Source organism: Homo sapiens, chromosome 2, assembly GCF_000001405.40.
Source record: "Homo sapiens chromosome 2, GRCh38.p14 Primary Assembly".
Lineage (NCBI taxonomy): Eukaryota > Metazoa > Chordata > Mammalia > Primates > Hominidae > Homo > Homo sapiens.
The window spans coordinates 108311879-108326697 of record NC_000002.12 but is presented as its reverse complement, the minus strand read 5'-3'; the positions used below and the strand labels follow the sequence as shown (position 1 = coordinate 108326697).

Genomic DNA, 14819 nt, shown 5'->3' with positions numbered 1-14819 from the left:
GAGAGTTGGAAGAGAAAATGGGCAGAATCCAGCTTGTCATAGGCACTAAAGAAATGGTAGCTGTCTTCATGTTTTGACGGTGTTGGTGTACATCCCGAGGGCCAGAGCTAGAACAGATGGGACCACTGTGCTCGGGGAAGCCCTGGGGAAGAAGGTGCCATTCTCATCGTGGCTCCCCCATACCAGTTTTCTGTGATCCTGGTCTCCTTTCCCTAGTACCCTGATAGAGGTACCTGGGTGCAGTGCCATGGCTCTGGCTCCGCCTCTAGACTATGCCCTTGTGCCAGCTGCTCAGCTCCTGGTCAGTTCCTACTCTGTACTAAAACCAATTTCTCTTTCTGCCCTTCTGGGGTCAGCACTGGCTTCGTCTTCGAACCTTTGTTGCCTCCTGATGATGTGCTGTCCTAATTCCCAGTCCACACTGCTTTGGCAGTTCCAGAGAGCCCTTCTCCACATAGGCTAGCTCTGCTTTTTCCTCTCAACTCTGAGCATGGAATTTGGGCCTTGCTTGCCTGCAGCCTCTCACAGGAAGTCATGGGTGCCTCTACCTCCAGACTCCACCTTTGTAATTGGCTCTGCTGTCGTAGATGCTGTGACCATCTCAGGAAACCTGGGCTCCCTCAGTGGCCCCTGACCCTATTCCTGTTTGGCCCACACTGTGCAAGGGCTTCTGCCAGACCTTCTTACCTCACATTCCAGATTTGCTCCCAACTCAGCCTGCTGACAGGGCACCTTGCATCATGAGTCGTACTCACTAGTAACTGCCTCCCTCTTGCCCTGGGGAGCTGAGTTCCACTAGATTATGCTTCTCAGTCACCACTATGGCCTGGTTTCCAGCACAGGCTGATGGCTGCTTTTCCATGGACTCCACCAACAAGGTGGCAATTCCAGACACAGATGTTGACCTGAATGGCAACTCAGAAAGCCATGGCATGGCTCAGGCAAGCTGTGGCAAGGGCTGTGCTCTACAGCTATTCATGGATATTATAAAAGGTGCTGGATGTACAGCCCAGATTTTGCTTCTGAACGGAAGTGTTTATTCCATCAGCTGCTGGGGATGCTGCTGGCAGATGACCCCCAGCTATTCAGCCCTCTCCAGGTCCCTTCCTGGGACATCTTCCATCCAGGGACTCGCTGACACTCTGTTCCCCTCTCCCCAACTGGGATGGAACCAACTTTGCAGGGCCATCCAAGCTTCAGATCATCCCATAGGAGGCTTTTTGCTGGGACTGAGTTGAAGCTCAACTTCTCCCTCTGGACAATCCTGCTTTCTTCCCTTCACTTCCAGAGGGAGTGATCCCAGGAGCACTCCCTAATAAACATCTCACATACTTACCTTCAACTCAGAATCTGCTTCCTGGGAAGAAAAGGAGCTGGTTTGGGAGTGAGGATCATGATTTCAGATTATGACAGGCTGACTTAGGTAAGTAGTAGATCGGGCCTGGAACCTAGCATCTGGGATGGCTTGTGTTTTATAGGGTCACTGTAACCTTCCAACTTACCCAGGGCAATACAGCTTGATTCTGTTGTCCCAGATTAATTATTAACAGTATATCTTTCTATATCAGATGACTTAGTTTGGAGGATAAATGATGAAGTCACCACAGCATCAGGTCAGCTGTTTCCTGCATGTCTCAAGTATCTGTCATGCCCTGTAGCTAGTCTCAGAAAAAATGTTCTTTCTCATTTTCTGGATTTGAGCTGGGAAAATTCTCAGTTCTCATGAGTCCCAAGGAGATAAACTTCTCATTCAAATGAAGTTCTCTTTTCATAATTACTTCCCACTTGTAGCATAGTATTTCTTCTTCCACATTGATAAGTGTTATCCTAGAGAGAAGTTACTAAGAGTGTGACCCTGGATAACTTGACTTGCTTTGTAAAAAAGGCAGTTCAAGTTTTCAGGGGAAACTTGCCTCTAGGCAGGGAAAATCCTGCCTCTAGGAGAGTCAAATAGAATCTGTGTTGATAGAACTGACAACTTGAGGAAAGAAAACCCAGTAGTCATTCCAGGCTGTGACTGGGGCTGTTTACAAGTACCAAGTGCAGTGTCCATCTGACGGCCATCTGATTAATTCGATCAAAACAGGCACTCAGTTCAGATGTTTCTGGCTTGAAGATTCACTCCACTGGTTACCAGGACACTACCCACTTCTGGCTTCTTCTCTGTCCACCGTCTAAGTGAGAAAGCTTCTTGGGGTTTGGTCCTGTGCCTTCTTTTTCCTCTATGCTTTCTTCCTATGTGATTTCATTCATTCCCATTGCTTTGAGCAGCATCTTTAGTAGACACTGTTGGTGGCTTCCTCAGATCCCCTGTACCAGCCTCTTGCACCCCCTCACCTCCTCCACGGCTGTGAGTGTTGGCCGCTCATGTCTCTCAGCTACCGGCTTTGCTAGAGAAGTGTCCTCCTCTGAAGGGAGGCTCCTAATGGAGAAAGTCTCCATCCTTCTACTCCTTCCCCTCCTGCCCTAACCACATCAGGGCAAGGCTTTACCCAATGCCACATCTTTACTTGGCCCCTTCCTCTCCCCTATCTTATACTCCTATACATACCCTTACTGTTTTTTTTTTTTTCCTAAAGAGCACCCTTCCAATAAATCACATGTACCTGAATCCTTGCCTCAGGCTCTGCCGTAGGGCATTTAACCTGAGATTTCACTATCTATAGCAACTCCAGTTATATCTTCAGCCAGAGTGGGCTTCCCTCTGTGCTCTACTTCTGACAGCCCCCCTGACGTCAACACTTAGTGGTCTAAAGGTCACCTCAAACTTAACATGTCCCAAACTGAGCTGTAGTTTAACCCGCCCACCTCCTGCATAAGCTCCATGCCTCTCCCTCTCCCAGGCCTTCCCATCCCAGCACAAGAGGCCACTCAGTTGATAAAGCCGGAAGAGAGTCACCCACGAGTCATCACTTCTTCTTGGATCTCAAGTAATTTTACCTCCAAAATACATCTCAATTTTTCTCTCACTCTTCATTTGCACTCTCACCTCCTTAGTCCAAGCTACTTTCTTTCTCATCTGGAAATGGCAACACACGCATCTTGTGTTCCCCAGTCCATTTTTGACCCCCTTCAATGCATTCAACTGCCTAATAGATGCCCTGGCCCCTCTCAGACCTGGTCCTCTCTGGACTTCCCTGAGTCAGTTCTTGGGGCTGGCATCCACCTGATCATTCCAGCCCCAAAGCTTGTCTCCTCTCTTTCTCTCACCCCACATTTATCATCTGTCAGTAAGTCCTACTGCTCCTGTCTGCATATGGAAACGTTCCTCTCCATGCTCCCTGTTATGGGCTAACTTGTGTGACCCCAAAATTAATATGTTGAAGTTCTAATCCACAGTACCACAGAATGTGACCTTATTTGGAGATAGAGTCTTTGTAGAGGTAATCAAATAGAAATGATGTCATTAGGATGGCTCTAACCCAGTATGACTGATGTCTATATAAAAAGGCAGAATTTGGAGGTAGATGTGCACACATGGAGAGTGCAATGTGAATATCAAGATGCCATATACCTGCCAAAGAGAGAGGCCTGGAACAGTGCCTTTCCTCACAGCCCTCGAAAGAAACCAAGTCTGTTGGTACCTTGATTTTGGACTTCTGGCCTCCCAAACTGTGAGACAATAAATATCTATTTTTTAAGCCACTGAGCTGGTGGTACTTTGTTTCATAGCCACAGCAAACGGATAATACATTCCCTATGTAATAATCCCAGTAGCTCAGAATTTCAGAGTACTAATTCCTTAATCTAAATTAGGACCCCCAATGTTCTCTCATTACACCCTCTACATTTCTTTCTAAGATCTTATCACAGGTAATCAAAATTCTGTGAAATGATTTGTTTAATGGTTTAATATTCTTCTCTAGACTGTACTGTAAATCCCTGCAGGACAAAGATAACAAACATTTTACCGATCACTATGCTTGGTGCCAGTCTCTGGCATTTAGAAGATTCTTGATAGGTAATTGTTGAATGAAAGAAAAAAATGAATAACATGGATTTTTTTAACCTGAAGAATCTGCTTTGACTAGTTATATGTTTTTGATATACCAACTACTCTATCTCTAAAAAAAATCCCTATAGTTTTATAGAAGAATCTTAGATCCTTTGCCATTCTGTCTGATTTATAGACAAGGACACTTCCTTCCTCTGCTCTTTGACTTTACTACATGACCCCATAAGGTGCTGATACATGCTCCAACTTCTACTTCCCTCTTCTCATGTCCGTGTACATACCTGCTTTGGGGTAAGAAGCAATGAGCAGGTCATCAGGCTTGGCTTGGAAGTTCCAGATCTTATCCCAGAAATCGCACATTTTCTTTTGAAGAATGATTCCATTCACTTGGGAAAATTCTTCTGGGGGTAACAAGCCCCATTCTAACTCACTTGTCTCCTCCACCTTATCCTTTAGCCATTCCTTCCACGGTGGTCTTGGGCACCAGCAGGGGAAAGTAAAAAGTAAATGAAAGTTGAGATTCACACGGGTTTTATGTATTCAGTGCTTTGGACACAGAGCTCTGGTCATTCATTACAGGTAAATATGTTCAGGCAAACAAAGACACAATTTGCATGGCTCCTGGGTAGAACTGGAACAAAATCTTAAGCATTGTGCCAGAATAGGCCTTACTCTTTCTACTCGTGAGATTCTGGCAGGGCTGCACCTCCATAGTGCCAGGAGGAAGAACAGCAGTGGGGCACCAGTCTAGGGGCCTGCCCAAGTCCAGGAGGTCACTTCCTGGTCCTGTGGATGCCCATGGAGATGGGGAATTGAGAGAAAATATTGAAGGAATGCCTGGAGCAAGCCTCCAGGAATTCCCTTCCCTCTTCCTTCTCTTCACCTGGAGTTACTCTCCCTACAGAAAGGAAAGTGATTCTCCCTTCTGGGTTTGGTTATCCATGGAGATTTGGAGAAACACCTTCCCCAGACCCAGGGAGACCCACGCTTCTATTGACATATCACATGCTAGGTGCCCATGTTAGGTGCACATGTTGTCAGCTGGGACAGTCCAGCTGGGAATTCCATCTCAACTTCCAAGACTGACTTAGAAAGTTACCTAAATCTCAGGTCTGTTTCTGTTCTGTGAGAGGTTAGACTGCAATATTTGAGGACTATTACTACAATGAGTTTTTTTTTTATATTGAAGCACAGTTTACATGCAGACAAATGCATAAAGTGTAAGTTTATGTCTTGATGAATTTATACTTCTATATGCACCCACATAACTACCATCTAGATCAAGATATAGGACATTCCCATTGCTTCGGACAATTTCCTCATGCTCCTTCCCAGTCAATGCTGCACCAGTGCCCCACACTCAACGCAGAGGCTGTTCTGACTTTTGTCACCATAGTTTAGTTTTGCCTATTCTTAAACCTCATATTAATGGAATCATACATTATGTACTCCTTTGTGTCTGGCTTTGTTCTTTCAACATAATGTATTTGAAATTCATCAAGTATTAGCAGCAACTATCAGTAGTTCATTTATTTCTATTGCTATATACTGTATCATTGAATGAATATACCAGAATTTTTTAATCGATTCTTCTTTTGATGGACATATAGGTTGATACCAGTTTTTGGTGATTATGAATATGAATAGAGCTTCTATGATATTTTCACACTTTTTTCTTGGGGTGGGGGATAGATGCATTCTCTCTTGTTCTCTTGGGTGTATGACTATGATTTGAATTGCTGGATTATTGGTATATTTAACCTTAGTAGAAACTTCCAGTTTCTCCATACATAGACAATGACACTTCAGTTAATGACATCAAAAGAGCTACCTGACCACCTGTCCGAATGATCTCTAAGTGCTTTTTCTAATTCTGAGATTCTGGCTCCCTGGTAGTGTGGGAGGACTGGCAGCCCCTTATTTATGTCACTCAGCTGCTGGCTCAGCCAGGTGTGTGCCTTATCGGCGCAGTAAGTTCCACTCAGTTTGAAGTGAGTGGCTGCTGAACAATGGGCCACTGAACAAATGGGCCCTGTCACTGTGTTGGAGAGGCAGGTTTTTCCAGGGACCACCTCTGCCAGGATTTCTCTCAGCATTTAGATTGACTCAACCCAAGCAAGGGTGCTTCCCTCAGTCATGTTGAAGGGATTTTAGAGCTCATACTACTGTTCATTTACTTTCTAGAATGTGTCATCTGGCATGCTGGGCATTGGCATTAACCACACATTTCAAACAAACCATTATAAAGGCCATCAGAGAAACATTGCCTCAGTTGGTCAGATGGAGGGAATTCTACCAAGCTCACAATAGCCACCGTGGCATCCCACTCTCAGTCATCTCGCAGCCTCAGCTGCAGTCACTACCGCTGCTCCTGAGAGCCCTTGCAGGGGCTTTGAGACTTCAGAGAAGACCTGCCACCTGGAGTCTCCAGCAGAAGGAGGAGAGGGAGTGTTTGCCAAAATAGTAAGTCTATTGATTTATTTATTTTAGGTAAGTTTAGATTTTTATTTATTTTTTATTTTTTATTTTTTTTTGAGATGGAGTTTCACTCTTTTTGCCCAGGCTGGAGTGCAATGGCACGATCTCGGCTCACTGCAACCTCCACCTCCCAGATTCAAGCGATTCTCCTGCCTCAGCCTCCCGGGTAGCTGGGATTACAGGCATGCGCCACCACGCCCAGCTTACTTTGTATTTTTAGTAGAGACGAGGTTTCACCATGTTGGACAGGCTGGTCTCGAACTCCTGATCTCAGGTGATCCACCTGCCTCGGCCTCCCAAAATGCTGGGATTACAGGTATGAGCCACTGTGCCCGGCCTAGGTTTTTTTTTTTTTTTTCACATGAAAATATATTTTATATTTACATATATACATTTATATTTACACACAAACACACGTATTAGGTTGAACTATTTGAAATGGCCATTTTTGAGCTTAAAAAGGTCAGATATTGGCTGGCCTGTTCATGAAGTTATTGCCTCTCATGTCCTAGTTCACGTGTCTCAGGTTTTCTTTGAGATGCTGGGCTGGGACTGTGCCATCTGTGTTTCCACTGGGCCAGCTGGTGTGTCTTCTCTGAGTCTCTGCTCACAGGGAGACTGACAGACAAGAGGAGGAGTAGGGACTCGCTCCCTTTGCTGCCTTCTTGCTCCAGCGAGTGGTACCCCTGAGATAATTCACTTCCTGTAGCAGCAGCAGAGTCCAGTGTGCAGATCACTTCAGAGTCAGCGTCTTCACAGTGTCCTCAGGGACAGAGACCTGGCCAAGTTGTGCTCCTTCCCCAGGGGCGAGGGTTTTCTCCACACACCCCTCCTCCAAGATCCTATTTCAGTAATTCTCATCTTTCTGAAGTTGCTGCCTCTGTGATTCTTGAATGTTTGCTTTCTTTTTTGATACCAATTTCACATGACTCAACCTAGTATTTGCACATCTGAATTTAACAGTAAATCATAAATATAATGGTCACTCTAACAAAGGGAGAATATTGCTCCCTTTTCAGTGATAGACAGATGCTTGGCCTATCACTGAGATAGAGTAAGAGTAAGAGATTTATTGAGGGACAACGCTTGTGAGGGATAAATGAGCAGGGCTGTCAGAGCCTGGTGTAGTAGTAACCCTTGTGGAGAAGGGCAGGAAAGAGGGAAGGAAGGAAGACTGGGTAGGCAAAGTCTTAGACTGGTTTAGCTCTCAGAAAACTTTAGCAAAGCTGTCGGGTGGTTCTCCTGCCAAGCGCCCATCAGAGAAGATGCTCTTCCTGGGAAGGACAGGCCCAGGTGACGGGTGGAAGAACGTGGCCAGCTGACCTCAGGACCTCTAAACTTTCAGTGTGGCCTCAGGACCTCTAAACTTTGGTTTGGAGACTGAACCACCAGACTTTTGACAAGGTTCCACAGTTTCTGTTACAACTATTCAGTCAGTTTGTGAAGAATGTTGAACCCAGCTCCTTAGCTAACAAAACAATTTTATTTTCCGGGGGCATGCAGAGAGGAAAGGGTAATTTACAGTTCTTGCCTGAACAATTTGAGCAAGCTCAGGAAGTCATTTCTAGGGAAAAGCAGTGACAAGGGGAATAAAAACTGGAAGACAAGGTAATAAAAGTGCCCCTGTGTAGTATAGACTTTGTCTCTCTCTCTTTAGAGCTCCGTGTGGAAGGTCAGAGAAGAGTCAGCCATTTTCCTCCCTAGTCTTCATCAAATCTCTTATTCTGTGCTGCTGAGAAGTAATCCTTCCACTCTCCAACGGTCCCTGAAAAGCAATGCAATCGTGCTTGAGAGATTGGACGGGAAGTCTATTCTGAATGCTTTTTCCATAAAGTGAAACTTTAGAGATAATTAAAAAGTATGAATTCGTATTACAGGTACACATCACAGTCTATTTTCTTTCAAAGACGTATTAATATTTTGAGAAAACCTCAGAATTATTGGCAGCATCATGTTAGTTAAAAAGGTAATAAGGCTCGTCATGGTGGCTCATGCCTGAAATCCAAGCACTTTGGAGGTCAAGGTGGGAGAATTGCTTGAGCCCAGAAGTTCAAGACCAGCCTGGGCAACACAGTGAGACCCTGTCTATACAAAAAATAAAAAATTTAGCTGGGCATGGTGGTGTGTACCTGTGGTCTCAGCTACTTGGGAGGCTGGAGGTGGGAGGATTGCTTTAACACAGGAATTGAAGGTTGCAGTGAGCTGTGATTGCACCACTGCACTCCATCCTGGGTGACAGTGAGTTTCTATCTTTTAAAAAAATGAATAAAAAGGAAAAAACGTATTAATATTCTTTCCCAAAATACTAATTATGTAATAATATGGTTCTCAAGGAAATTCATGATGGTTGGCAGGCAGCTTTCCTCATAAATGGGGAGATGGAGTGGTCCATGATGTCACAGGTTATCATTACATAGTTGGTCATCTGGTTTTTCTTCTTACTTTCAAAAGATGTGTGCTGAACAATTCTTTTGACAGGATCTTCATCTAGTTTATTCCCCATAAATTCCATTATCCTTTTGAACTTCATGTTCTGGGTTCTGTTGAGTGGGGAAGGGCAACAAGTAGTCATTAGGGGATTTGGGGGAGAGAACAAGGGAAAGCAAGGAAAACAAATCTGGGAAAAGTTATTTCAATTCTCTTCATCTCGGTATTTGTGATATTGTTGATCTTGCTCACCTAAACTTTACCTGTTGTGCCCAGCACTGCAGCTGTGTCTCTGATGTGAGAAACTTCCCACCAGCAGAAGGATCTGGAACTCAAGGCCTGCTGTGCAGATTCTTTTGTCCCATGAGGTGATCACTTGATGTGGTGTTCTCCCCCTTCCCCTGAGAGCTGGACTTCAGTGATTATTACTGCTCTTCTGGGTCTAGCCACTCAGCGGGGCTACCAGGCTCTTGTCTGGTGCTGGGGAATATCTACAAAGAGTCCCGTGATGCGACCCATATTGAGGTCTCCCAGCAGTGGATACCAGCACCTGCAGGGGTGGAAGTGGCAGGGAAGTGATGTAGACTCTGAGATTCCTTGGCTGTAGAATACGTTTAGTGTGCAGGCTTTCTCAAATGTTGGTTATGCTAGCAGTGAAGTTGTCATGTGGGCAGACTCAGGACCAGGGTGTTGCAGGCAGTGGTGTTAGCTGTTGTTTTCTTCTTCCTGGCAGCAGTGTTTTTCTGCCAAGGGTTGCTGTAATGGTCTGAGTTGAATGGCTTCCAGCCCTGAGGTGGAATTTGCAAGAGAGCTCCTGCTGCAGTAGTAGTAGTGGGACATAAGCTTGCTCTAAGTTGACCAGGGTAAGTATTCTTGTTCTCAGCTGATGGGTGGGACCATAAAGCTCCCAAGAGTTTATGTCTTTTGTGTTATGCTACCAGGGCCAGTAGAGAAATACCATCGGTTAGGGGCAGGGTTAGGCGGGTCTGAGCTTTTGGGCGGGGCTTGCCGCGGCCACTGTGGGGGATGCAGGGGTGGTTCTCAGGCTAATGGGATTATGATCCAGAGGGGAGTATGGCTTTCTCTGCTGTGCAGCAGAATTCGTCGGGGGAGTGGGGGATAGCCGGTAGCGAGAGGCCTCACCCAGCTCCTACACAGTTGGTGAGGTCAGTCTCACTCCTGCAGCGCACTGCTAACAGCGCCTAGTTTAGATCCAGGCAGCCTGCGCACAGAACTCAGACCTGGCTCAGTCCATAGGCTTCCCTGCTGAGAAAGCAAGCACAGCTTTCCTCCTTCTTTTTTATAAATTGACCTTCATTAATACCTCACATAGTTAGGCCATGGTATTCTTTTGTTGAAAATCTATGTTAAGTATCCTCTTGAGGGGACAGGAAATGCTAGAAGTTATCTGCACTTCCCCTGTGTTTTTAGTATTCCCCGTTTCGAAATGATTGGCCAGCTCGTCCTTTGATGAGTGGGAGAGGTGGGAAGAAGGAGAGGGAAAGGTGTGGCTGGGTGAAGAGAGGCAGGAAAGGGCAAGGCTGAATGGCCACAGACCAATCTCTATTCTGTGACCCTATTGATGCCCTTGACTAGGCATGTTCCCAGACCAAACCGAGGGTCAGGCTGCTTATTCTCACGGCCCAGTAACGAGATGCAGATGAACTAGGAAAGAAGAGAGTTTAATTCTGTAACTGGGTACAAGGAGAAGGCCTGGAAAATATTGCCAGATCAGCTCAAAATTACAGTTTTTCAGGGATTATATACCTTCTAAGCTATATGTTTACATTTAAGTGTGTATTCATCCAAAGACATAAGTGATTAACGTCTTCTAATCTATAGTTACGGTCTGAGTTTCGAAGAAGACCTTCCTCTGGAGCCTCAGTAAATTTACTTAATCTAGATGGGTCCAGGTGCTAGGGTAATTACCCTTATCTTGTCTCCTGCTAAATTATGGAGGTTTATGGAGTTCCTTTAGACCCACAATAAAACTTGTTTGTGGAGGTCTGGGGAGTTTCTTTAGACCCCCAATAAAAACTTGTTTAATCTTTATGGGTCCTGTTAAGAATTCCTTCATTATTTGTCATTCCTGTCAAGGCCCAGGAAAGGCCCAGGCAAAACTCTTTGTGGGCTTTTGTTACATTCCAGCCTTTGTATAAGGGCACTGGTTCTTTCAGCTTTTAATATTTAACCACTCAGTCAGTGCTGAAACAGTTGTTATGGAGGCCTGCCTCTTCAGCTGTTAATGAGACCTGGCCTGCCACAGGCAGAGTGGAGAATACCACACCAGTCACTCTGACAAACACTTGACAACCTGACCAGCATTGGGCTAATCTCTGAGATCTCTGACTTGCAGCAACCTGCTTGGGTGAGTCTACTTCTGTATTATTAAGACATTAACTAAATTGTGTCCTTTGGGTCAGATATATTGCTGCATATGAGAAACACTCCTGATAGAGAATCTGTTAAATGTCTCAGGCCACATTTTTCTTTTCAGAGAGATCTGTGAATCTCTGATAGTTTGCTTGCTGATCTGAGGCTTGGTCATCTTAATCTTTTCCTATTACTCTTCCTCTTGTCATGAATCTCCAGTGGTACTTAAAGAGTATACTAGGCACTAAAGAACCGTGTCTGCAATTAAAATGAAAAAGACCAGGCACAGTGTCCCATGCCTGTAATCCCAGTGCTTTGGGAAACCAAGGTGGCAGGATTGTTTGAGGCCAGGAGTTTTAGACCAGCCTGGGCAACATAGTGAGACCCCGTCTCTACAAAGAGTAAGAAATAAAAATTAGCCAGGTATGATGGTACACATCTGTGGTGCTAGCAACTCAGGATGCTGAGCTGGGAGGATTGCTTGAACCTAGGAGGTTGAGGCTGCAGTGAGCCACGATTGTGACACTACACTCCAGCCTGGGCAACAGAGTGAGACTTTGTCTTAAATTTTTTTTTTTTTTTAATAAGGAGTGAGTATCCTGCTGGTCAACCTGAAATTCTACTTCCTGCTTTTGTAACCAGGTGTGAGAGGCTGAGGGAGGAGGTTCCCTTAACCCTTAACCCTGGAAGTCTCCACACCCATGAACAATTCCCAGCCCTCTCAACTGGAACAGTGTGGCTCCCACCCTTGTGCTGTGTGTATGGCACAGACACAGTAGACATATTGACATGGTAGTCTGAGTGTTTCACCATCTATCTTGGAGCCTGCAGGGGCTTCCTGATGCTCCTAGGATAAAGTCTAACATTCTGCCATGACCATCAAGGCCCCATGTGACATGCCCGGCTCTCTTTGGGGCCCCATTTTGTCAGTTCTCCCTGAGCTTGTAGCTCTTCCCCTCATAGCCCTTCCTTCTTGCCCTGAGACAGGCCCGCCTCACCAAGCCTGCTCCTGGGTCTCCTTCTCTCTGCCCAGTCTCTTGCCTAGTTAAAGCCAGCACATGCTTCACACCTAGGAAGGACCATGTCCTCTCAGGAAAGCTGTGCCTCAGGCCCCAGTCTCAGCTGATCTGCTCTGGCCTCTCGAAGCCTGAAACCATCTCACATGGCACTCTCCTCGGTTGGTGACATGTGTCACGACTTAGTGGACTTTTGCTTCACATGCTAGACCATGAAATCCATAGGGGAAGGGCTTTGCTCACCACTGTATCCCCATCATTCACACAGTACCTGGCACATAGTACGTGTACTATTGAGAATGAATGAATGACTGAATGAAGAATGGCTGTAACTCTTAAGAGGAAAGAAACATAAAATCATTTCTTTTTAGCTGTTGGTACATACTTATGGTGCAGGTATATGTGGGGAGAGGGTGTGCTAGGGCTCTTTGCATCTTAGCTTGAATACTGAATTTCCTGGGGCTAGTTCTATTTCTTGCATCTCTGTTCTTGTTAGATTGGTCCCTCCTTGCTTGAGTTGTGGACAACTGGTCGAGTTGCAAAACACTGTGCTTTACCATCATGGTGGCTTTTCATTCTTGACCCTGATTCTAACGTGTTCCAGTTGCCATGTAGTTTCTACTGGTTGTTGGAAGCCTGAATTTAAATGTGATTTGTGGGTGTTTGAAAAACTCACAGTCCCATGTAATCTCACAGCATTAAACTTCAAAGCTCTTTGAAATACTAAACCTCAAAGTCGGCATGTTTAGGTCCTAGCTAGTGAAGAAAAGGAAGCAGAAAGAGTTTAAACCAAATGACAAAGATTATTTTCTTGACCAAACTTTAGTAAGGTTCTTAACATATCTCCTATACCCCTCTGTGTAATTCTTTGAAAAATCCAGTTTTTGCAAGAAAACTATTAAGTCAATATAGCAGGAACTCCCTACCCCCAACATCTGATCAGGTTCTTCATCCTCCACCACCACCCAGGTAATATCTAATCACCCTGGCCTATCTTTAGCAAGAATCCTGTTGGATCACTGTAGCCAGAACCCATCCCTTTCCTTACCGATGATGTTTCCTCTTAGGGATTTTCTATCCCTCCTTCTCCACCCTTCTGCATGGCTATAAATTCCCACTTGCCCACGTTATATTAAGAGTCGAACACAATCTCTTCCACTGCCAGACTCCATTGCCATGGTCCCTACACCTATGGAGATGGTCCTGACTAAAATCTGCCCTACTGTGCTTTAATAAGTGTCATTGAATAATTTTTTCTTTAACAGGACCAACCAATCAACCAACCAACCACCAACCCACCAACCAACCAACCAATTAAAAGTCAGAACTCATTTTATCATTTGGGATCATAGCTGACCCTGGAGTGAATGTTTTTTTTTTTTTTTAACTATCTTTATATTAGTCCATTTTCATGCTGCTGATAAAGACATACCCAAGACTGGGTAAATTATAAAGAAAAGAGTTCAATGGACTTACATTTCCACATGGCTTTGGAGGCCTCACAAGCATGCAAGTACTAAAGAACTGTGTCTGCAATTAAAATGAAAAAGACCAGGCACAGTGGCTCATGCCTGTAATCCCAGTGCTTTGGGAAACTGAGGCGGGAGGATTCACAAGCATGGTGGAAGGTGAAAGGCATGTCTTACGTGGCAGCAGACAAGAGAAAATGAGAGCCAATTGAAAGGGGAAACCCCTAATAAAATCATCAGATCTCATGAGGCATATTCACTACCAAGAGAATGGTATGGGGGAACTGCACCATGATTCAATTATCTCCCACCAGTCCCCTCCCCCCAACACGTGGGAATTATGGGAGCTACAATTCAAGGTGAGATTTATGTGAGGACACAGCCAAACCATATCATTCCTCCCCTGCCCCCTCCCATATCTCATGTCCTCACATTTCAAAACCAATCATGCCTTCCCAACAGTTCCCCAAAGTCTTAACTCATTTCAGCATTAACTCAAAAGTCCATAGTCCAAAGCCTCATCTGAGACAAGGCAAGTACCTTTCACCCATGAGCCTTAAAATCAAAAGCAAGTTAGTTACTTCCTAGCTACAGTAGGGGTACAGGCATTGGGTAAATATAGCCATTCCAAATTGGAGAAATTGGCTAAAACAAAGGGGCTATAGGCTGCATGCAAGTCTGAAATCCAGTGGGGCAGTCAAATCTTAAAGCTCCAAAATGGTCTCCTTTGACTACATGTTCACATCCAGGTCACTCTGATGCAAGAGGTGGGTTCCCGTGGTCTTGGGCAGCTCTGCCCCTTTGGCTTTGCAGGGTACAGCCTCCCTCCAGGCTGCTTTCACAGGCTGACATTGAGTTCCTGTGGTTTTTCCAGGTGCACTGTGCAAGCTGTCGGTGGACCTACCATTCTAGGGTCTGGAGGATGGTGGCCCTCTTCTCATGGTTCCACTAGGCAGTGTCCCAGTGGGGACTCTTTGTGGGGGCTTCAACCCCACATTTCTCTTCTGCACTGGCCTAGAGGTGGTTCTCCATGAGGAGCCCTCCCCTGCAGCAAACTTCTGCCTGGACATCCAGGCATTTCCATACATCCTCTGAAATCTA

At 45.3% G+C, this 14819-nt stretch overlaps 2 pseudogenes across 1 annotated transcript in view; both read right to left on the bottom strand.

Annotated features, from left to right (window-relative positions):
* The window catches only part of SULT1C5P (sulfotransferase family 1C member 5, pseudogene), a 31562-nt pseudogene extending 27102 nt beyond the window's left edge, over positions 1-4460 (bottom strand). Inside the window, exon 1 of the transcript NR_037191.1 lies at positions 4237-4460. The product of NR_037191.1 is annotated as a sulfotransferase family 1C member 5, pseudogene (transcript). The remainder of the gene's footprint in view (positions 1-4236) is intronic.
* Positions 8087-8973, bottom strand: SULT1C2P2 (sulfotransferase family, cytosolic, 1C, member 2 pseudogene 2; annotated as a pseudogene).